This window comes from Homo sapiens, chromosome 9, assembly GCF_000001405.40.
Source record: "Homo sapiens chromosome 9, GRCh38.p14 Primary Assembly".
Lineage (NCBI taxonomy): Eukaryota > Metazoa > Chordata > Mammalia > Primates > Hominidae > Homo > Homo sapiens.
Window position 1 is genome coordinate 132,441,376 of NC_000009.12, and position 22,572 is coordinate 132,463,947.

The following is a 22,572-nucleotide window of genomic DNA, read 5'->3' on the forward strand; positions in this document are numbered from 1 at the left end:
GCTATTCCACTGAAATACGGCATGTTTTTATTTTGAAAGTACAAGATGACCTATTTATTAGCTGTGATTCAAGCTGAGTTTACATGCTGGGAAACACAAAGGGAGAAGAATAGCATATTTCTTTTGAGGGCCACAGACACCCTCCCCGCTCCCCGCCAACCACACATAAGAAAACATTGAAACTGAGTGTTCTGAATTGGAGTGGACGTATTTTCCTTGAAATGACAGCCTACCTTGGAATCACGGGAAAAAGTTGCCAATTACCTTAATCATCCTCCTCAGGGTAACAACAAGGAAGTGCTTAGGCTGCCTCGGTGCGCGGAGGCAGAGTGAGCAGTGAGTTCTGGGGAGACAAACAGCCCCGGATTCAAATACCAGGAACCCGATCTTCTTCAATGGCAAGGCTTGGGTCAGGCACGCCTGAGCTCCTGTTCCTCCAAGGGTGGCTGGTGTGTCTGCAGCGTCCACAGCCCTGGGCACTTGCTGGAGACGCAGAGTCTCAGCCCCCACCCCAGACCTTCCTAATCATCAGAACCTACATTTCAACAAGGTCCCAGGTAATCTGTGTGCATATTCCAGTTTGAGAAGTGCTGGGCCAGCCCAGAGTATCTTCTACCCTTTGTGCAGTTTAGGGAGGTTCAGTTGTACACTGTTCAGTTGTTCACTTATTTGGCACCTACTACTATGTGCCAGGAGCTGATCTAGGTACTAGGAATACAGGCGGTAAGACAGACATAGCCCCCGCCCTCCCTTGGGAGTTTCCAAGACAAGCAGTGATATGGAACAAGGAATTGCAGTGGGGATGGATTATAAGACCATTCTCTCCTGGACAGAATGGCATTCGCATCTTGATGGGATTGTAACTGGCAAAATTTATTCAATAAGAAAAAACAGGCTGGGCACAGTGGCTCACACCTATAATCCCAGCACTTTGGGAGGCCAAGGCACACAAATCACTTGAGCACAGAAGTTTGAGACCAGCCTGAGTGACATGGCGAAAACCTGTCTCTACCCAAAATATGAAAAGATTAGCTAGGTGTGGTGGTGTGCACCTGTGGTCCCTGCTACTCAGGAGGCTGAGGTGGGAGGATCGCTTGAGCCCCGGAGGCAGAGGGTGCAGTGAGCTGAGATCGAGCCACTGCATTCCAGCCTCGGCAACACAGTGAGACCCCATCTCAAAAAAGAAATCTCTGTGTTATAATTTATGCTGCATCATTTTACATAATCTTATAAACCTTTTCTTATAGGTTATTGTGTACTTGGAGATAATCATGCCCATCTTTTTTTTTTTCATCGAGGCAAAATTCGCATGATATTCGATCATTTTTATATATGTACTTATTTTTTGTAGAGATGGGATCTTGCTATATTGCCCAGTCTGGTCTTAAACTCCTGGGCTCAAGCGATCCTCCCACTTCGGCCTCCCAAAGTGCTGGGATTACAGGTGTGAGCCACCACACACGGCCAAACCATTTTAGAGTGTACAATTCACTGGCAGTTCATGCATTCACGATGTTGTACAACTAGCACCTCTGTTTTGAAAGTTTTTTCATCACCCCAGAAGAACACCCCAAAACCTTCCAGTAATCACTTTCCATTCCCCTCTGCCAACCCCTGCTAACCACTAACCTGCCTTTTGTCTCTGTGGATTTGCCTATTTTGGATATTGTATATAAAGGGAATCATAACATGTGACTTTTTGTGTTAGGGTTTTTAACATGTTTTTAAGGTTCATCCATGTCGCAGCAAGTATCAGTACGTCATTCCTTTTAATGGCTAAATAATACTCAATTGTATAGATATGCTGCAATTTATTTATCCATTCATTGAGGGGCATTCATGCTCATTAAAATAAAAAAGTTTTTTTTTTGTTTTATTTTTGTTTTTTTTTTTTTGAGACGGAGTTTCCCTCTTGTTGCCCAGGCTGGAGTGCAACGGCGTGATCTCGGCTCACCGCAATCTCCGCCTCCCGGGTTCAAGCGATTCTCCTGCCTCAGCCTCCCTAGTTGCTGGGATTACAGGCATGTGCTACCACACCTGGCTAATTTTGTATTTTTAGTAGAGTTGGGGTTTCTCCATGTTGGTCAGGCTGGTCTCGAACTCCCGAACTCAGGTGATCCGCCTGCCTCGGCTTCCCAAAGTGTTGGGATTACAGGGATGAGCCACTGCACCCGGCCAGAAAAGTATTTTAATTTAAAATAGGCCGGTGTTTATCTTAGGTAAAATGGACCATCTTGGTAAACGGCCCTTCGTGAAGCAACAATGCTCAGTTTGGATTATGTCAGTTATTGTCACTTACATATGTAGTAGCAGTTTTTCAAGATATTAACCCAAGACGTAGGAAGCATTCTTCCTGAGAAGGAGAACGCTATGGTCTGTAAGGCTAAAATTGGAGCATGACGTTGAAAATAGGATTCCAGATTACATGCATGGGGCTTCTGGCCACGCTTGAATAGTAGACACTGGACTTGAAAATCACTTGTTTGGGTCTGCAAAGCATGCATTTTGCACCCACAACACTGCCTGGAATCAGTGTCAGTTCTGGGCCATTTTCCCATTTTATTCAATCAACCGTTGAGTTCACACGCCAGCCATTCCTTAAGTGTCAATTCTGAGCTGGGCCCTGGATAGATGACAGTGGCCCTCCCGGGCCCACAGGCCAGGCTTCCAGACATGCCCAAGATGAGAGCTGAGCAGCCACCAGGGTGAAGGCTCCACCTCGTCCTTCATTGGATTCTGAGAACACCCTTTCCTCTTCCACTTCCCGTTTCCTACAGAGGTGGCTTTGCAGCTCCGTGGGAAATCAGCTTGCACATGGAAGCCCTGGGCATTAGCAGCAGCAATGGAAGAAGGTATTTGTGAGGCTAAGGCGCTCAGATGGGGTTTTCCAGCCAAGCAAACCTAGAGCCACCTGCGGCATTGCCAGGGAGACAAATGCCACATCTGGAAAGATATCTGCATAATCCACAGCTTGTCATTTGGGCAGGAAGTGTGCTCTCTCCTTTGAGAATCTGCCTTATTATGGGCTGGATCCATGCCAGGAAAGAGGAACGAGAGGGGAATGAAGCAGGAGCACATACACTCAGCACATTCATGCCATGGTTTGTCCTCTTGGCTCATGGCCCGCCTCCAGGGCCCCACAGGTTCAGGAGGTGCCTGTGGTTAGATTCAAGAGAGATGGCCATGGCAAGGCAGGAAGGCTGACCTGAGTCCTTCCGGCAGGGTGGCTGGGTCTTGGCTGTGGTCTCCCGAAATCGTGCAGTGTTTGGATCCATAGCGAGGGTGTTGTAAATCATTTGTCGCTACTGGTAAAATACTGACTTTTGCAGGTTATTGATCTTTTTTCTTTAAAATTTTTTAAAAAAAATTGTAGTAAAATATGCGTGACCTAAAATTTGCCGTCTTACCCATTTTTAATTGTAGAGTTACGTGGCATTAAATGCTGAACCGCATTAGATACTGTGTCATTGTGCCACCATCACCACCATCCAGCTCCAGAACTCTTTTCATCTTGCAAAACTGAAACTCTGTCCCCATTAAACAACTCCTCATTCCCCCTCCACCAGCCCCTAGCAACACTGTCCTATTTTCTTTCTTTCTTTTTTTTTTTTTTTTTTAGACAGGGTCTCACTCTGTTGCCCAGGCTGGAGTGCAGTGGTGCAATCTTGGCTCACTGCAACCTCCGCCTCCTGGGTTCCAGCAATTCTTCTGCCTCAGCCTCCCGAGTAGCTGGGATTATAGGCACGCACCACCATGCCTGGCTAATTTTTGTATTTTTAGTAGACACAGGGTTTTGCCATGTTGGCCAGGCTGGTCTCAAACTCCCAACCTCAGGTGATCTGCCCGCCTCAGCCTCCCAAAGTGCTGGGATTGCAGGTGTGAGCCACTGTGCCTGGCCTCACTGTTCTATTTTCTGTCTCTATGAATCTGACTACTCTAAGTACATCATAAAAGCAGAAGCCTACCATGTTTGTGTTTTTGTGTCTGGCCTATTTCACTTAGCCTCATCTTCATCCATGTTGTAGCTTGTGTCAGAACTTTATTCCTTTTTAGGGATAAATACTATTCCACTGTATGGATAGACCACATTTTGTGTATTCATTCCTCTGTTGAAGGACACTGGAGTTGCTTCTACCTTTAGGCTATTGTGAATAGTGCTGCTATGAAGATGGGGGCACAGGTTATTGGCTTTTGAAAAACAAAATAAATATGCTGGGCGCGGTGGCTCACGCCTGTAATCCCAGCAATTTAGGAGGCCGAGGCAGGCAGATCACTTGAGGTCAGGAGTTCAAGACCAGCCTGGTCAACATGGTGAAGACCTGTCACTACTAAAAAATGCAAAAATTGGCCAGGCGTCATGGTGGGTGCCTGTAATCCCAGCTATTCAGGAGGCTGAGACAGGAGAATCACTTGAACCTGGGAAGTGGAGGTTGCAGTGAGCCGAGATTGCACCACTGCACTCTAGCCTGGGCGACAGAGTGAGACTCGATCTCAAAAAAAAAAAAAAAAGAAAGAAAGAAAAAGAAAAACAAAATAAATAAGAGAATTTCTCTGCTCTTGTGTTCTCTAGTGCTCTTTTAGGGGAGGGGGCTTCCAACTGGGCAGGGTGCATTGGGTGCCGCTCTCCACCTGCCTCTCATCTCAGCCTGTAGTGACAGGCGTTTGCTGTTGACCCTTATGTAGCTGTTCCAATTATGGGTGCTCATTCTAATGTAATTGTCCTACAAATGATGCTGGTGGGGACTTTCCTCAGGATCTAGGTTTGCTCACAGGCATGGTGAGCACATGAGAACTTGATCCATGAGATATTTTTCATTATGGAAAAAAAAGTTCAGAAGAGCTTCCTTAAAATCTAGGAAATTAAAGAGTCTGCTCGGTCGTGCCAGAGAGCAGGGCTGAACCCTGATCCTGGAGCCCAAGGCTGTGGCCCTCAGACCTGGATCTCTGAGTCGTCTGGTCATGCGTGGTCCTGGTTTCTGTTTTCACCGAGAACACCAGCTCGAATGAAGCCCCGATAGATCGCGTGTAGTGCTTCACTCTTCACCTAACTACCGACGGTGCCTGCCAAAGATATGGCTCTCAAGGTCGGGCGTGGTGGCTCACGCCTGTAATCCCAGCACTTTGGGAGGCTGAGGTGGGTGGATCATGAGGTCAGGAGATCGAGACCATCCTTGCTAACATGGTGAAACCCCGTCTCTACTAAAAAATACAAAAAATTAGCTGGGCGTGGTGGTGGGTGCCTGTAGTCCCAGCTACTTGGGAGGCTGAGGCAGGAGAATAGTGTGAACCCAGGAGGCGGAGCTTGCAGTGAGCAGAGATCACACCACTGCACTCCAGCCTGGGCGACAGAGCAAAACTCCTCCGTCTCAAAAAAAAAAAAAAAAAAAAAAAGATAACATGTGGCTGGCTGACTGAGGGCTCTACTGTGTGGGAAAGCATGCCAAATGCTTTCAACATCATCTCATTTAAGTTAATCTTCCCAGCAGCCCTGTGAGATAGGAATCAGTTTCCCATTTTATTTTTACTTTTTAAAATTAATTTTAAAAATAAATACAGGTGTGGGGAGCGGGGGTCTCCCTATGTTGCCCAGGCTGGTCTCAAACTCCTGGGCTCAAGTGCTTCTCCCGCTTCGGCCTCCCAGAGTGCTGGGATTACAGGTGTGAGCCACTGGGCCTGCCCAGTTCTCCCATTTTCCAGAGGTGAAGACTGAGGCTCAAGGAGGTTAGATGATTTGCCCCAAAGTCTTAGGGTAAAGCAGGAGAGCCAGGATTCAGACCCCAGTCTGACTCTCTCCAGATTCTACACTCTGCCACTGATTCTGCATTTTATGTTTTCCCCCCTTAAAATCAACTAATGAGCAGAAGAAACTTGGTGCAGAATGCAGCTGGAAGTGCTGGGCTTCCATCTGTCAGTTAGAACCTGCCTCTTTCTGGGGATGCAGAGAGTGAACTGGGTGGAGTTAATGATCATTGTTGTGTTAGAGGACCTCTTCCAAGAAAGGAGAAGTCATATTATTCAAATCCCAGTTTCATTTGAAGCCTAGCAGGTAATCGAAAGCAGACTTCAGACTAGTGTAAGGTGGCCTGCCCTGACTAGGCTGCCTGGGGTCTTGTCTTCACTCGCCAGCTTGGACGTGATCCCTGCTCCTGCCACCAGGAGCGCGTGGCCTTTTCTTGGCCATCCCCATCCACAAAGCAGCATGCGGAGTGGCTGCGGTCGGTCCGCGTAGATCAGCACGTCGGTTACACACAGCGTGTCCGCCGTGTGTTCGGACCTAACACTCCTCTCAAATACACACTAAGCTGCTGACAGCGGCAAACGCGGGGACTTCAGACACCTAGCGCAATGTATATGTTGAAAGAGTGGTTTTCTAGAATACTAAAAGGTAGAACATACCAGAAAATTGGGCTGATTAAAGAACCAACCTGCTACTTCCTCTCTGTACTCAGCCCTAGAATATTTCTTAATAAAACCACCCAACATTCAAAGGATATCCACTGGAGGAAAGACCTACTTAGGAGTCCAGTTTACAAGGCAGTGAGATTATTTGTTTTACAGCAGCCGCTGTATTATGCAGTTAGGGGCTGCCAGGGGAGGTACCCATTGGTAATGTGGTGACAATGTTATGTGCTTTGTTTGGGAGTGTGGCTTAATTAGATGACAACTTGGAGGTGCTAGCTGTTCTCAAGGTAATACTGGTCTCCTGGGCTGAGGACTAATTTAGCTTTTTCGTTTAATTCAGAAATGGGGAGAGGGAAGAAGCTCAGGTTGTACTGGATCAAGATACACACACGCACACATGCACACACACACACGCACACATGCACACACACACACTGTTACTATATGTACATCACAAAACTTTGGTTGCATGACCCTGGGAAGGATTGTGGCCTCAGACAGAGTAGGAGAAGAATGGAATGACTCTCACATTCAATTAGGTTGATTAAAACACATCACTGCTGAGGCCTTTCTCTTCCCTCATGCACCATAGCAGGCAGTGTAATGTTGTGTTAAGGCACAGCTTTGGCTCAGGCAGACCAGACATTGGGCAGGTATTTACTGAACTTCTCTGAGCCTCCATTTCTTTATAAAACAGGGATGGTAACATTCACCTCCTGGGCTGGTTGTGAGGATCCAGCACTTGGCAGAGTTCTTAGAACACAGGAAATGCTCCCCAAATGAAGCCTCTGTTTTGTTTGTTTGTTTGTTTTTGTTTTTGCTTTTTGAGACAGAGTTTCGCTCTTGTTGCCCAGGCTGGAGTGCAATGGTGCAATCTCGGCTCACTGCAACCTCCACCTCCCAGGTTCAAGCGATTCTCCTGCCTCAGCCTCCTGAGTAGCTGGGATTGCAGGCATGCACCACCATATCCAGCTAATTTTTGTATTTTTAGTAGAGACGGGGTTTCACCATGTTGGCCAGGCTGGTCTTGAACTCCTGACCTCAGGTGATCCACCCACCTCGGCCTCCCAAAGTGGTGAGACTACAGGATTGAGCCACCATGCCTGCCTGAAGCCTCTGTTTATTATGAGCAGTCGGGGAGTGGAGATACACGAAGAGACCAAGGACCGTGCCTCTAGAATAATTGGGAGATAGGCACCTATGACGTGGAGATGAGGTTATGGGAAAAGCCCAACAACTGGGCTGTGGACAAGGGTAGGGCACCGTGGAGGTGGGAAGTCAGAGAAAGCTTCACAGAGGGGGCCAGTCTGGAGGTCAGTTTACAAATTTCCTTTATGGTTCATGAAACTATGATATTTATGCCATAAAGTTGATCCATTTTAAGCATCCAGTTTGGTTGATTTGGCAGTTATGTGCAATCACGTAACCTCCATCACAGTAGAAATAAAGAACAATTTCCCCACCCAAAGAAGCTGTCTTTTGCTCCCTTGCACTCACCCTCCTCTCCTACTCCTGGCTGCACTCACCCTCCTCTCCTACTCCTGGCTGCACTCACCCTCCTCTCCTACTCCTGGCTGCAGCAACCACTGATTGCTTTTTGTTGCTACAGTTTTGTTCTTCCTAGAATTTGATATAAATGGAGCCATAGAGTACACAGGTTTTTTTTTTTTTTATGTTTTACTTCTTTCATTAGCATAAGGCACCTGAGATTCATCCATGTTGTGGCCTATAGCAGTACTTCATTCCTTTTCATTGCCAAGAAGTTTTCCATCATATGGGCTACCACAATTCACTTATCCATTTGTTCAGTTGTTGAACATCTGGGTTGCTCCCAGTTTAAGGCTGCTATGAATAACCTGTGATTTCCAGACAGACACTTTTGTGGGCATATATTTTCATTTATCTTGGGCAAATACCCAGGAACGGGATTGTGGAGTTACATAATAAACGTCTGTTTAACTTTGCAAGGTTCTGCGATATCATTTTCCAAAGTGGCTGGACATTCCACGTGGCTACCAGCAGGGTATGAGCATCTCAGTTGCTCCCCGTTCTCACCAATAGTTGGTATTGTCAGTCTTTTTATATTTAATGGTTGAATTTCCAGGGATGATTAAGAGTTTTTTTGTTTGTTTGTTTGTTTGTTTGTTTGTTTTGAGATGGAGTCTCGCTCTGTCGCCCAGGCTGGAGTGCAGTGGCACTATCTCAGCTTACTGCAAGCTCCGCCTCCCGGGTTCACGCCATGCTCCTGCCTCAGCCTCCTGAGTAGCTGGGACTACTGGTGCCCGCCACCATGCCCACACCCGCCACCACGCCCGGCTAATTTTTTGTATTTTTAGTAGAGACGGGGTTTCATCGTGGTAGCCAGGATGGTCCTGATCTCCTGACCTTGTGATCTGCCCGCCTCGCCCTCCCAAAGTGCTGGGATTACAGGTGTGAGCCACCACGCCCGGCCGATTAAGAGTTCTGTAGGCAAATGAGGTAGGGAAGATATTCCAGGCAAAAAAAAAAAAAAGCATTTGGAGAAGCAGGGAAACAGGGAGAAGGATGCAATGTGTGAGAACTACAGGTCAGTGAGTGTTCCTGGGGCAAAAAGTGGGGGCCTGGCAGTGGAGAAGTTGGGAGAGCAATAGATGGCCTCAGGATGTGGACAGAGGCTGGACATGGGTCTAGACCATTAATAATAAAAACAATGACTGCAAACACTCATTAAATTCTGCATATCAGCCACCAAACTTCTGTGAGATAGGTCCTCCTATTATCCCTTTTCACGGATGAGGAAACTGAGGCATGGTTCATTAATGTGCCTACCTACATACAGCTGGTAAGCAGAAGAGCAGAGATTTGAACTCTGTGGTCTGCCTAGACAGGCCATGAGCTTAACCACGGCACCACACTGCCCACCAGGAAATTTTGGTTCTGATACTGTAGGCCATGAGATGCCTTTAAAGATGTTAAGTGGGGCAGTGAAATGAACAGACCTGTCTTTATGCAAGACCATGTGGCTGCAGAGAGAGCCCGGATTGGAGCGGGTAAGCCGGGAGGCTCAGAGACCCAGGAGGAGGCTATGGCAGTTGTGTGAGTGAGAGGTAAGCAGCAGAGGGCAAGAAACAAATGAATGGGTTGGAGAGCTACTTAGGAGACAGCCTGATTGAGTATGGAAGATGAGGAAGAGAAGCTAAGGATGGATGTCAGGATTTTGGCTTGAGCAATGGCAGTGCCTCCAACCAAGATGGAAAATTCCAGAATGGAAGCAGGTCTGTGGAAAGATCATGAATTGGTCCGGGCACGGTGCCTCACACCTGTAATCTCAGCACTCTGGGAGGCCAAGGCAGGTGGATCACTGGAGGTCAGGAGTTCAAGACCAGCCTGGCCAACATGGTGAAACCCCGTCTCTACTATGAATACAAAAAATTAGCCGGGCATGGTGGCATGCACCTGTAATCCCAGCCACTTGGGAGGCTGAGGCAGGAGAATTGCTTGAACCTGGGAGGCGGAGGTTGCAGTGAGCTGAGATCGCGCCATTGCACTCCAGCCTGGGCAACAAGAGCGAAACTCCATCTTAAAAAAAAAAAAAAAAAAAGAAAGATCATGAATTGGATGTGGGTAGTCGGTCTGCCACAAACAGTGGTCTTTTAGCGCTGGTGGTTTTAACACTCAAGTGAGGGCCCGGAAGGCCCATGACATTCAATGATTCATAGTTTCGCGAAGATTCAAATTTGAATATCCTGCACTGTGAGGTGTGTCTGTGTGTACAGGAGTCATTTGAACTAGTGAGTGTACCTCGTCAGCCACCCAGCATCTACACTGCCACCTTACTCCATAGTTCTCTCCTCTTCATTGTGTGACACTCATGAAGATTCCTTGTCCCTTTCTTGATCCCCACCACGCCCCCTAAGTTCAGGGCCATCACTGTTTGCTACCCGAGCCAATCCTGGTTGCCTTCATTATGGCATCTCTCCACCAGCCCTCACCCCCTCCACTCTGCCTCCCACCCTGAGTCAAGGAGATTTTCTTTTTTCTTTTTCTTTTCTTTTTTTTTTTTTTCCAGAAGGAGTCTCACTCTGTCGCCTAGGCTGGAGTGCAGTGGTGTGATCTCGGCTCACTGCAACTTCCGCCTCCTGGATTCAAGCGATTCTCCTGCCTCAGCCTCCTGAGCAGCTGGGACTACAGGTGTGTGCCACTATGCCCGACTAATTTTTTATATTTTTAGTAGAGACGGGGTTTCACTGTTAGCCAGGGTGGTCTCGATCTCCTTGACCTCATGATCTGCCTGTCTCGGTCTCCCAAAGTGCTGGGATTATAGGTGTGAGCCACCGCACCCAGCCTGAGATTTTCAAAAGAACAAATCTGGTCCCATCGCTCCCCCATTGCGAGCCCATTAGGGCTCCCCTTGCTGTCTGCAGGGTGGGTCACAATGCATGTGTCTCCTCCCAGTTGGTGTGCCCTTGTGGGGAAGGTCCAGGGCAGATAGAGCTCTTCTGCAGTTCGTGCCTTGACCAGAGCATCCACTGCCTTCTCCTAAGCGGAAAGTCAAGCCTGTTGAGAACATTCTTACAGCAGCCAGGTGGCGTTGGTTTGGGCACTGATGTTATAAATAGGCAAGACCCCTTCCCGTGCCCCTGCTTTGCAAAGAGCACCTGGGCTCAGCTCTGATTACCTTGGGTACTGCAGCCTGAAGAGGAGGGGGCCAGGTTGGTGAGCAGTCCAGAAACCACAGGAGGACCAGTTGAAGGAGAAGAAAAGGCCAAAATAGAATTGGAGCATGATTTTCAAGTCTCTGAAGAAGGTGGCTTTTCTGTTTTACTCCAGAGAGAGCTATTGAACTGCCACTAACATTGGATTCTGCACCAGGAGTCAGGCCTGTGCCCAGCAACTAAGAATCAGGACTAGGACCTCGGTGGAAGCTCCAGGGAGGCAGACTCCAATTGGATATAAAGAAGAGGTGCCCGAGAGTGTGACGGATCTGTTGCTGAGATGGGGTGCCTCATGCAGCAGGGGTGCTCTGTCCCAGAAGGAACTAAACAGCCTGGAGACCCACTGACTCTGCAAGGAACATTTATTGGACCTGAGCAGGAGGGAGGACCAGATGACCCTTTCTGACTCTCAAATTCTTTGACTCTAAGAAGGAGTTCCATTCCTAATATACCTGAAAAGCTCTTAGTGGCGCTGCCATTAAGCAGAGTTAATGGCAATAAATTCTGCCATTGTATTTCTTGGCTAAGCAGAGAAAAGCATTAGACTCATGGTGTGTGCTCAGTCAACACGAACCACTTGGCTTTTCTTTTGCCAAGCAGCAAGTTAGTGAAGCTGGATGAACCTGGGGCATGGACCTGACACTCAGCCTTCACTCTTCCCTTCATGCCCTCAGTGAATCTCCATTTCCTCTTCTGTAAAAGGAGGGGAGTAACAGTGATTCCTAAAATCCTTCCCAAATTTAACGTTCAGCTTTTTAAAAAGCCAATATAGGCCGGGCGCAGTGGCTCACACCTGTAATCCTAGCACTTTGGGAGGCTGAGGCAGGTGGATTGCCTGAGCTCCGGAGTTCGAGACCAGCCTGGGCAACACGGTGAAACTCCGTCTCTGCTAAAATACAAAAAAATTAGCTGGGCAAGACGGCATGCGCCTGTAATCCCAGTTACTTGGGAGGCTGAGGCAGGAGAATTGCTTGAACCCGGGAGGCGGAGGTTGCAGTGAGCTGAGATCACGCCATTGCACTCCAGCCTGGGCGACAGAGCGAGACTCCGTCTCAAAAAATAAAATAAAATAAAGCCAATATAATTCATATATCTGGTGGAAGGAAATATATATCATGTTGGTTCCAATTGAAGCCAAAAGATTCATTTAAAAACCCCACAGAAACCGTTTGTTTTCATAAAAAGGGCTTCAGTGTGGGGGCTGGAGCCAGGGGCACCAGGTAATGAACCCCAACCCTGTATCTTGCTGCCCACTCTTGTAGCAATTCTTGGATTCTTGGGTAGGAGTCAGAAAGCTTGGATCATTCTGGATGTTTTCTCCCTTAATCAATCATCTTTTGGTCTCTCACTTCTGAGTACGTAAGAGCCATTTGCTTTTCACATTTACAATACTTTCTTTTGGAATGTTGTCCCTTACTGATTCAGAGAAAGGAGGACATTTGTTTTAACAGATTTGAATTTATCAGCGTGTGTATTTGCACCAAAGCATAATAATAATAAATTACAGTCCTAATAAGTAGGTTGCCCAGAAGGAGGGCGGTGGCACCCCCAATAATTGATGTACATTCTTTGCAATTTAGGGGCATCATAATTTATCGGGGTTCATTTTTTTTGTATCCAATTTGAAGAAAGGCAGCTGTGTTTTGTATGCAATAAACTCTGCCATTGTACTTCTTGGCTAAGCAGAGAAAAGCATCATAATTTTTTGCCTATTTCCTAGTTATTACTGCAGTATCTAGTAGCTTCTTTATGGGAAAGAGTTTATCAATATTTCAATTATAAACCCCAATTTTCAGGAGGGTTGTAACTCATCTATTTAAAAATCAGATCAGGCTGAAAACACAGTGAGTAGCTTGTCATCCCAGGAAACCGAGGGCTTTCTAAAATATTAAATAACCAGTGTAAGTCAGTTCGATTTCTTTGAACTTTTAGGGTAAAACTTTGGTTTTACTTCCCCACATGAATAAAGTGGAACTAAGCTTCTTTCTCCATAAAACGTGTTCAGGTGTTACTGAGGTTTCCATTTGCAAGTAAAGGGAACAGGTGCTGAAATCGGCATCTCTGATATTGTTCATTGGTTGGTGTGTTCTGGAAAAGCTGCCCACACATCACATTTTTTACCAATTGAGTGATAGTTTGATACAATGCCCTTTTGAATGGAACCACGTGGTGAATCCTTTTCTAGAAGTGAAGACTACTTCAGGAAAGCAAGTAAGCACTCCTAATTATGCAACAGTATCCTAGCTTTGAGAAGGCAGACATACCTATAACGTAGCCAGGGGCCAGCATTGCCCTTGTTATTGAGTGGATGGGGACAGGCCAGCCATCTAGTGGCCCAGCCCTCCTGGTAGACATGTGGACCTCAGGCACCTAAGGCCATCTGTTGACTTCAATCAGTCAGTGACTTGAGCCAATTCTCCCCACCCAAACCACACACTGAGGCACTTCTTTCAAAGTCCCCTTAAGTCAGAGAGTGATCACTTAGACCATCCCAGGATTACCTGAAGTGAGGACATCACAAAATGTCATAACATCCTACAAAAAAAAAGAAAGAAAAGGCAATAAATTAGCCTGCACAAAGAACTCCAGTCCATGGGAAGGCCCAGTGATATCTTGTGAAGTTTGTTCTACTCGCAGATCCTAGCTGGCCCTTTCCTAGGCTTTATCAGGCCTGGGACCTTGTTGATGGCAATACCATCTGTCATTGCAGCAGAGCCCAGTAGTGTGGGGTTCTTACCTTAAAAAGTGGAACTGGCTGGGTGCTGTGGCTTACACCTGTAATCCCAGCACTTTGGGAGGCCGAGGCGGGTGGATCACCTGAGGTCAGGAGTTCGAGATCAGCCTGGCCAACATGGCGAAACCTCATCTCTACTAAAAATACAAAAATTAGCCAGGTGTGGTGGCGGGCACCTGATATCCCAGCTACTCGGGAGGCTGAGGCAGGGAGGACTGCTTGAAACCAGGAGGTGGAGGTTGCGGTGAGCTGAGATCGTGCCACTGTACTCTAGCCTGGGTGGCAGAGCGAGACTCCTGAAAAAAAAAAACAAAAAAACTTCGAGACCAGCCTGGGCAACATGGCGAGACCCTATCTCTACTAAAAATACAAAAAAATAGCTCTGTATGATGGTACATGCCTGTGGTCCCAGCTACTCAGGAGGCTGAGGTGGGAGGATCGCTTGAGCCTGGGAGGCGGAGGTTGTAGTGAGTTGAGATCGCACTACTGCACTCTGGCCTGGGTGACAGAGCAAGACTGTCTCAAAAACAAAACAAAACAAAAAAGCAAAACGAACCCCAAATGTCTCTCCACTCAGCTCCCAACAGGATGCAATTGTCAAGGAAAGGCTGTAACTCTTAACTGTGGGGTTTGGGGAGGCCACAGAATGTAGTGGCCAGGATGTGGGCTTTGAGGTCCACAGACACAGACCCGAGTTCTCATCCAGCGTCAGCCACTTATTAGCTGTATAACCTTGAGCAAGTTATTTATCCACTCTTAGTTTTCCCTTCTCTAAAATGAGGACAATTACACATTCCTGGTGGCACTGCCGTGGCGATTCAATGAGGAAATGTGAGTGCTGGGCCTGGCACTCGTCCATCCACGAATATTTTATGAAGCACCTGCTGAGTGTCGGGTACTATCCTAGGCTCCGTTGAACGAGACAGGTGAGCTGCCTCTCTCGTGGTTACATTTGAATGGAGAAAGACAGACAATAAATACACAGCCGAAAGGTAGCATCGCTTATAGTAAGTGGCTGGGTGGGGAAGGCAGCTCAGAATGGGTGACTGAGGAGGGGCTCTGTCCACAGTAGCTGTTGTCCTGCCCCCCATCTTGACATCTGCTGCCCCTCTCCCAGCCTCATGTGCCTTGTCACGTGCCTGTGCCTGTTCCCATTTGTACCCCATCTTCAGCCAGCGCTTGACTCATTCATCTTCATATTCCCTACGGCGCCTCCTTGGTATGGCGCCAGGCATGCGGTCAGACTCCAGAAATGTGTTCAAATGAACCTTCTGAAAATACTAGACAGGGGCAGTGCCTTCTAGCCCTGTGGGTGCACAGAGTCCTGGCCCTGGAGCCATCTCTTATTCAGTGATGGACTTGAGCGCCCGTGCAGAATCCCATTAAGATTTCCATAGCCTGGCCCCACTCAGCTCCCTCAGTCCTAAGTCCATTTCCTCTTCCTCTGGTCTTCATGGAAAACAGCATCTCAAAGAAACCATTCAGTTTGGGCAATAACCACCTGGGAGATGGGAAGAGGCTGCTGATCCAACTGGAGATTTAAAAAAAATTTTTTTTTTTTTTGAGACACGGTCATACTCTGTTGCCTAGGCTGGAGTGCAGTGGTGCAATCTCAGCTCACCGCAACCTCCACCTCCTGGGCTCAAGCGATTCTCATGCCTCAGCCTCCTGAGTAGCTGGGACTACAAGTGTGCACCACCGTGTCTGACTAATGTATGTAGAGATGGGGTCTCACCAAGTTGTTGCTCAGGCTGGTCTTGAACTCCTGAGCTCAAGTGATCCACCTGCCTCAGCCTCCCAAAGTGCTGGGATTACAGGCACCTGGCCCCAGGCAGATCTTTAAAAAGACCCATGACTGGCCCCTACTGGGACAGCAACTCAGGGCAATCCTTCTTATGTGTGCAGGAGCTGACTGAGCCCCCTAAACCGGTCACCCCCACCCCTGAAGATGAGGAAGATGAGGCCAAGGTTTGCGTATTCTCTGGATGAAGCCCTCGGCCTGGGTCCAGTTGTGTGATCCTGAGGACTCGCTCCCACGCATGCCCGCCACACTCAGAGCCCTAGGAACTGACAGGCGGCCGCATCTTAAGACGGGGACGGGGGTGGGGGGGCGGGGGGAGAAAGGATTAAAATCGAGATTTCGCTATTATTTTTCTCTGATAAAAGTGCAGCGAGGAATAGCTCGACTGTGTCACTGCCTAGTTTTTCTTTTGTGTTTTTTGCTTCCTGCTTCAATATCTTCCTCCAGCTGCTCATGTCTCCTTTTCTTTTCTCCTCACTTTGATCTATTCGTTTTCCCCAGAAATGGGGTTTATAAATCATTGTAATGCAGCCTTGGGAAAGATGGTGCTTAGTGCAGGGAGAAATACATCGCCGCTAACAGCCCCGGCAGGGAGAAAAACTCTCGCCTTGTTGCTGGAATCTGGCGACAGGTTACTGATGGTATTTGCTTTTTATGTCTGCACGCGTGCCATCGGGGCAGGGCCGTGGGGAGCGTTCCGCACGCCACCTTGGTAATATTTCAAGTCTCCTCCGGCAGTCGAAAACAAACTGCTCCTGCCTGCTCTCAAGGAGGCAGAGAGAGAAAGGGAAGGGAGACGCGAAGGCGGGGAAGGAGCATAAAGACGCGTGCCTGTGATTCTCTGGATCCCACCCCAGATAAAATCAGCTCCTAAAACACCCCTTTCCCTCCCTGAAACCCTCTGCACATTTGGATTGACTTAATTAATCTGGTGTCCCAGATCGTCAGGACCGACTCTCCCAGGCACAGTTAGGAGTCTAACAGCCCCGATCCCTTATTTCCGAAGGCCCGGGGCCTCCCTCCCTCGTCATATTTTATGATCCTATTTTCTCTGCAGCTCAGAGCAGTAGAGAAGCGTGGGGCTTGAGATGTGGGCCTCCTTCTTACTCAGAGCGGCCTTGCGGTGCGTGTGAGATCCGGGGCGAAGGAATGAAAATCCTGCGAGGCCTTAAATCAGAACATAAAGAGGGACCCCGTTATCCCGGAGCCAGGGGCGCTTGCACAGATCCGGGCCCCTGGACGGGCCTGAGATGCGCAGAAGTGCAGCTTACGGTCGCAGCGACAAGCTTTTGATTTCTTCTTCACCGACAGGCCTCTCCACCTTTGTCTCCCTGGCGGGGGAGGGGGGGGGGTGTGTATGGAAGGCTCAGCTCATCCCCACTTTCCCGCATCTTCTTTTCTCCACATATGGAATTTCGACTGAATTTTCCCATCGTTGCTGCATCTGTCCACTTCATCTTGCCTGTGTGGGCTAGGTTTCATCCTAACAGTGATCAGCAGAAGAAAATGTTTATTCCTCTTCATAGGTCAGGTCCGCACAGGACAGAGTGAAATGGAGACAGTGAGTTGGGGAATTAGCATTGGGTAGCTCAGCACTGTCCGGTGGAACTTTCTGGAGGGAGCTCTCCCTCCTGTGTCCAGTAGGGTCACTACAAGCCGCATGGCTAGTGAGACTTAATTATAATTAATTTAAATCTAAATAGCACTTGCGGCTGGCAGGTGTCGTGTTAGGCGGCACAGATGTAGCCAGGCAAGCTGGAAAATTCAAAGGAGACGCTTCTGTTGGTGATACCTTGTTATACCTGGAACCACTGTTTCCAGCAGGCTAACACTAAAACACTGAGGCATGTGCAAGGAAATAAAAGGGTGAAAAAAGCATGAAATGGTTGAACCCTTTTGAAGTCACACTCTTCCTCCAAGTACACTCAGGGGTGAGGATAGTCGCAGACTTGATAACCAGACCAGATCGTGGGAGAAAATTTCCTTCGGGGTAAAAATGAAAAGATAGTCTGGGTAAATTGTGACTTGCCCTTCTGGTGGCAGCCCAGTCTACAGCCCTGAAACTATTTTTTTTTTTTTTTTTGAGACAGAGTCTCGCTCTGTTGCCCAGGCTGGAGTGCAGTGGCGTTATCTTGGCTCACTGCAAGCTCCGCCTCCCAGGTTCATGCCATTCTCCTGCCTCAGCCTCCCGAGTAGCTGGGACTACAGGCGCCCGCCACCACGCCCAGCTAATTTTTTGTATTTTTAGTAGAGACGGGGTTTCACCGTGTTAGCCAGGATGGTCTCGATCTCCTGACCTCGTGATCTGCCCGCCTTGGTCTCCCAAAGTGCTGGGATTACAGGAGTGAACCACCGCGCCCGGCCACCCTGGAACTAATTTATCCCATGCACCTAATGTGGCCTGGATGAATAGGGTGTGTGTGTGTGTGTGTGTGTGTGTGTGTGTGTATGTGTGAGTGTATGTATATGTATTTGTGTGTATATATGTGTGTATATGTATGTCTCTGTTTAGGTGGGTGTATGTGTGAGTGTGTGTAGGTGTGTGTGTATGTGTGTGAGCATGTGTGCATGTATGTGTATGTATATATATATGCCTGTATATGTGTGTGTATGTATATGTGTGTATACATGTGTATGTATGTGTGTATATGTCTCATGTGTGCATATTTATGTGTATATGTGTGCATATGTGTTTGTGTATGTGTGTTTACCTGTATGTATGTGTATATGTGTGTGAGTGTGTGTGTATGTGTGTGTATGAGTGTGTGTGAGAGCGTGTGTGTATGTGAGAGCGATGTGTGTATGTGTGTGTATGAGTGTGCGTATGTGTGGGAGTATTGTGAGTCTGTGTGTGAGTGTGTGTATGTGTGAGTGTATGTGGGTGTGAGTGTGTTAGTGTGTGAGTGTGAGTTTGTATGAGTGTGTGCGTGAGTGTGTGTGAGTCTGAGTGCATGAGCGTGTGCGTGTATACTTCTTAAAGACCTTCAAGACACTTCTCCTGACATCCAGGTCTTCATGCATCCTTCCATGCAGGGCATCGCACCCTGAGGACTTTGTAAGCAGAAGGGCTTCCTGACCAGCCCCTTTGGAGTGAATGGAAGAGTGTTTATGGATGTACCAGGGGATAGTTCAGAAAAGCTACTCCATCCATTTCCTGCTGTTGCTCTCTCTGCCTTTGCTCTTGCTCCAGCCCTTCCCCAGTTCCCGGGCAGTTCAGCGGTCAGACTGCCTGGCCACCTCCCACCTCCTCCACTTTATGAGGCACAGGGCCTTGGGTAAGTGACTTGACTCCCCAAAGCCACTGTGTTCTCCTCTGCAGAGTGGAAATGATAATAGCACCCACCTCAAGAATGTTTGAACGTCCATCAGCAGATGAATGGATATAAAATATGGCCTATCCATATGGTGGAATATTACTTGGCCATTAAAAAGGAATGAAGTACTGATCCATGCTACAGCATGGACAAACCTTGAAAACATTATACTAAGGGAAAGAAGCCAGATCCAAAGGACACATATTAGATGATTCCATTTACAGGAAATATCTAGAATAGGCAAATCCATAGAAAATGGATCAAATAGACCAGTGGCTGCTAAGACCGGGGAGATGGGGGTGTGAGGAGTGGCTGCTCAACGGGTATGAGATAACCTTTTGGGGTGATGAAAAAGTGTTGGCACTAGATAGAGGTGATGGTTGTGCAACATTGTGAATCTACTCAATACCACTGGATTGTGCACTTTAAAAGGGTCAATTCTCTGTCGTCCAGGCTGGAGTGCAGTGCAATCTCGGCTCACTGCAACCTCCGCCTCCTGGGTTCAAATGATCCTCCTGCCTCAGCCTCCTGAGTAGCTGGGATTACAGGTGCCCGCCACCACGCCCAGCTAATTTTTGTATTTTTAGTAGAGACGGGGTTTCACCATGTTGGCCAGGCTGGCCTCAAACTCCTGACCTCAGGCGATTTACCTGCCTCAGTCTCCCAAAGTGCTGGGATTACAGGTGTGAGCCACTGTGCCTGGCCAAAAGGGTCAATTTTATACTACGTAATTTTCACCTAAATTAAAAAAAAATTAATGTAAAAAATGTATGCTCATTTATTTACTCAAAGCCCTCCGCACAGTGCCTGGCACAATAGCAAGTGCTGAATGAAGGTTGGCTTTTAAGAACAGTAACAGTGACACAACTCACCTCCAGTCTTTGGAAATCACACTTCTTATAGATGGAACATGAGAGGAGGAACTGGGCAAAGCGCCCCTCGTTTTGGGGTTAGACAAAACCCACGCATTGGACGAGGTGTGTGGCCAAGGGTGTGCCCGGGTTCTGGGACTGCTTTTGCAGGTCTCTCTGTCTTACGCCAGGATGAGTTAAAGACCCCTGGTACAGCCCGGTGCTGCCAACTACAATTTGGCTAATGCCTTAATTGCATCTGCTTCAGCGGCCTTCCTTCTGGCTCGGGGACCATGTCTATTTCCCTGCTCCCTGGTCCCCAGCAGCCAACTAGGGCAGGCCCCAGCAGCAGAACAGCTTGATTCCTTGAGCCCAGGGAAGCTATAAATCTAGAGCTTTAATCATGTCTTCATGATCATTCAGCAAAGAGCGACCGAGGATTTATTCTACCGGGACGGCCAAGGGAAGACTGCGGGGGTTTGTCGTGGGGGATATTGGTTTAGCAAAGGCAGAACTGCTCCCCTGGGCCCTTCCCAGGCCTGGCCGATGAACGATGACACCAATGGCCATAACAAGGCAATGACAGTGTGTGCGGGCAATGCTTTGTTAAAGACAGACAGGCTTCTCAGCCAAGGCCTTTGTTGTGCCACTTCATCCGCCTCACAGAGTGGCTGCGATTTCCCCCCGTTTCTGCTCTAGAGCCTGCGTCCTTGAGAATGCAGTAAGCATTTTTTAAACGCCCCAAGGGTCCTTTCCAGTTTTCTCTGCAAATGTTAAGGAGGAGGAGAAATCAAGGAAATCCAGAGAGGACTCTGTGGTCCCTTGCACACGGCAGGCACCTAATATCTACCTATTGAACATCTCCGCTCCTTCATTTTATGGGCGAGAAGAAAGAGGCCCAGAGAGGTAGCGATTAGTAACTGTAACACAGCTGGTCCCCCAATTCCCAGTGTGAGCTGGCTGCTTCAGTGCCTGGCCTTGTTTACAAACCGCAGTCTTGGAGTCGCAGAAAGGGAATGGGTTCCCCTGGGACGGAGGGAAGAAAGCCAGCCCCAGTGCCTGTGGCTGATCTCTAGGACGTGTTTCTTGTGAGTTACTCTGGAATAATTCTAAGTACGTGCAAGTGGTCCTGCTCCTCCGTTTGTTTGCTTGTTTTGTTTTTCCACGATGAGGTGCTGCTTCACTCATTTATCTGCCAGGCACAAATTGGGACATTTTCATAGCAGAAGGTGTTGGTTTCCCTCCTTTTTAAAATGGCTGTGACTCGTTCCATTACATAGATGTCCCATAAATGTAGGCTTCTGTGCCCCCACTCCAACAGCACCTCCAGCAATGGCCATTTCTATCATCTCCAGGTTTTCAACGTCATAAAACTACACTGCAAGAACACGTTTGTCTTTGGGAGGCCGAGGTGGGTGGATCACCTGAGGTCAGGAGTTCGAGACCAGCCTGGCTAACGTGGTAAAACCCCGTCTCTACCAAAAATAGAAAAAAATTACCCAGGCGTGGTGGTGGGCGCCTGTAATCCCAGCTACTCAGGAGGCTGAGGCAAGAGAATTGCTTGAACCTGGGAGGCAGAGGTTGCAGTGAGCCGAGGTCGTGCCACCGCACTCCAGCTTGGGCAACAAGAGCGAAACTCCGTCTCAAAATAAAAATAAAATAAAATAAAGAACACGTTTGTATATACATGCACTTTGTATGTAAGTTTATATATATTTTACAGAGTGAACTCCATGAAGATAGGCCTGGGTCTGTCTCTCCAGCACCAGGTCCAAGGCCTGGCACATAGTGGATGCTCCAGGATTCATAGATGTGTGTATTATTGCGGAGCACCTAGCTGCTATCCAGCAGTCCAGAGTGGGCTGGATAGCAGGACGGGGAGAGGCAATGAGTCAGGAGCATACAGAAGAAGTATATAAGCCAAATAGAGGAGGAAAGGGTGCCTGGGCGGGCTGGGAACGGATGGAAGGTGGCCACTCTCAGGTGCTGTGGATGACGTCGCAAGTCAGCCAATCTTTGCGAAAGGCACTTTTCAGCACCAATGACATTTTAAAATGTGAGTACCCTTTGGCCCAGAAACTCCCCAGTTAAGATTTAAGCTCCAGAATTATGTGCACATATATACAAACATGTTCTTGCGGTGTGGTTTTAGAGTGTAGAAAACCCAGAAACGAGAGAAATGGCCATTGCCTGGGATGCTATCTGGGGGCAGAAGCTTATTTTATGGCACATCTGGGTAATGGAAAGAGTTGCAGGCATTTAAAAAGTCAGGAAGCTGGGACAAATTGCTGAATGAAGTCGGAAGCTTGCTGTCCCCTGGGCCACCCCCACCTGGATACCTGAACGAAGTGGTCTTTCCTCAGGTGTCCACCACACAGCAGAGGTTACTCACAGTAGAGGAGGGAGCCTGGCCCCGGTGGAAGACCCCCAGTGATACAGCAGGAAAGGGGTCACCGGGCTAATGACGCTAAGGGGGAGGGGATGCTGCCTTACCTGGGGACCAGCAGAGATGGTGGAGAGTGGTGACCCCAGTGGGCACCGTCTCTTCCCATTCAGCCCAACCACCCAGGGCTTCAGAAGCAGGCCTGAGCCTGGAGGCAACGGGGAGTCCAGGCCCAAGGACAGCAGCGGAGGTCCCTGGTGTCCCTGCTATCTGTGCATGGGGCTGCTGACAGGAAGGACACAAACACTCACCTGGCTTGGCCTGGAAGGGCCCTGAACTCGGCCCAGGATGCACAAGTGTGGGTGGATTCCACTCCAAGGATACCTGGGCTGG

The 22,572-nt window shown here is 48.3% G+C and overlaps 1 protein-coding gene across 5 annotated transcripts in view, besides 2 other annotated features; it reads left to right on the forward strand.

Moving 5' to 3' along the window:
- The window catches only part of CFAP77 (cilia and flagella associated protein 77), a 163,109-nt gene that overhangs the window by 31,165 nt on the left and 109,372 nt on the right, over positions 1-22,572 (forward strand). The window lies entirely within an intron of this gene.
- Positions 16,375-16,876: an enhancer, noted in NCBI's record as "H3K4me1 hESC enhancer chr9:135333137-135333638 (GRCh37/hg19 assembly coordinates)". NCBI's record gives its function as "activates a minimal SCP1, AML or CMV promoter by ChIP-STARR-seq in naive H9 embryonic stem cells {active_cell/tissue: H9 hESC(naive)}" and the evidence as "EXISTENCE:reporter gene assay evidence [ECO:0000049][PMID:30033119]".
- Positions 16,877-17,376: an enhancer, noted in NCBI's record as "H3K4me1 hESC enhancer chr9:135333639-135334138 (GRCh37/hg19 assembly coordinates)". NCBI's record gives its function as "activates a minimal SCP1, AML or CMV promoter by ChIP-STARR-seq in naive H9 embryonic stem cells {active_cell/tissue: H9 hESC(naive)}" and the evidence as "EXISTENCE:reporter gene assay evidence [ECO:0000049][PMID:30033119]".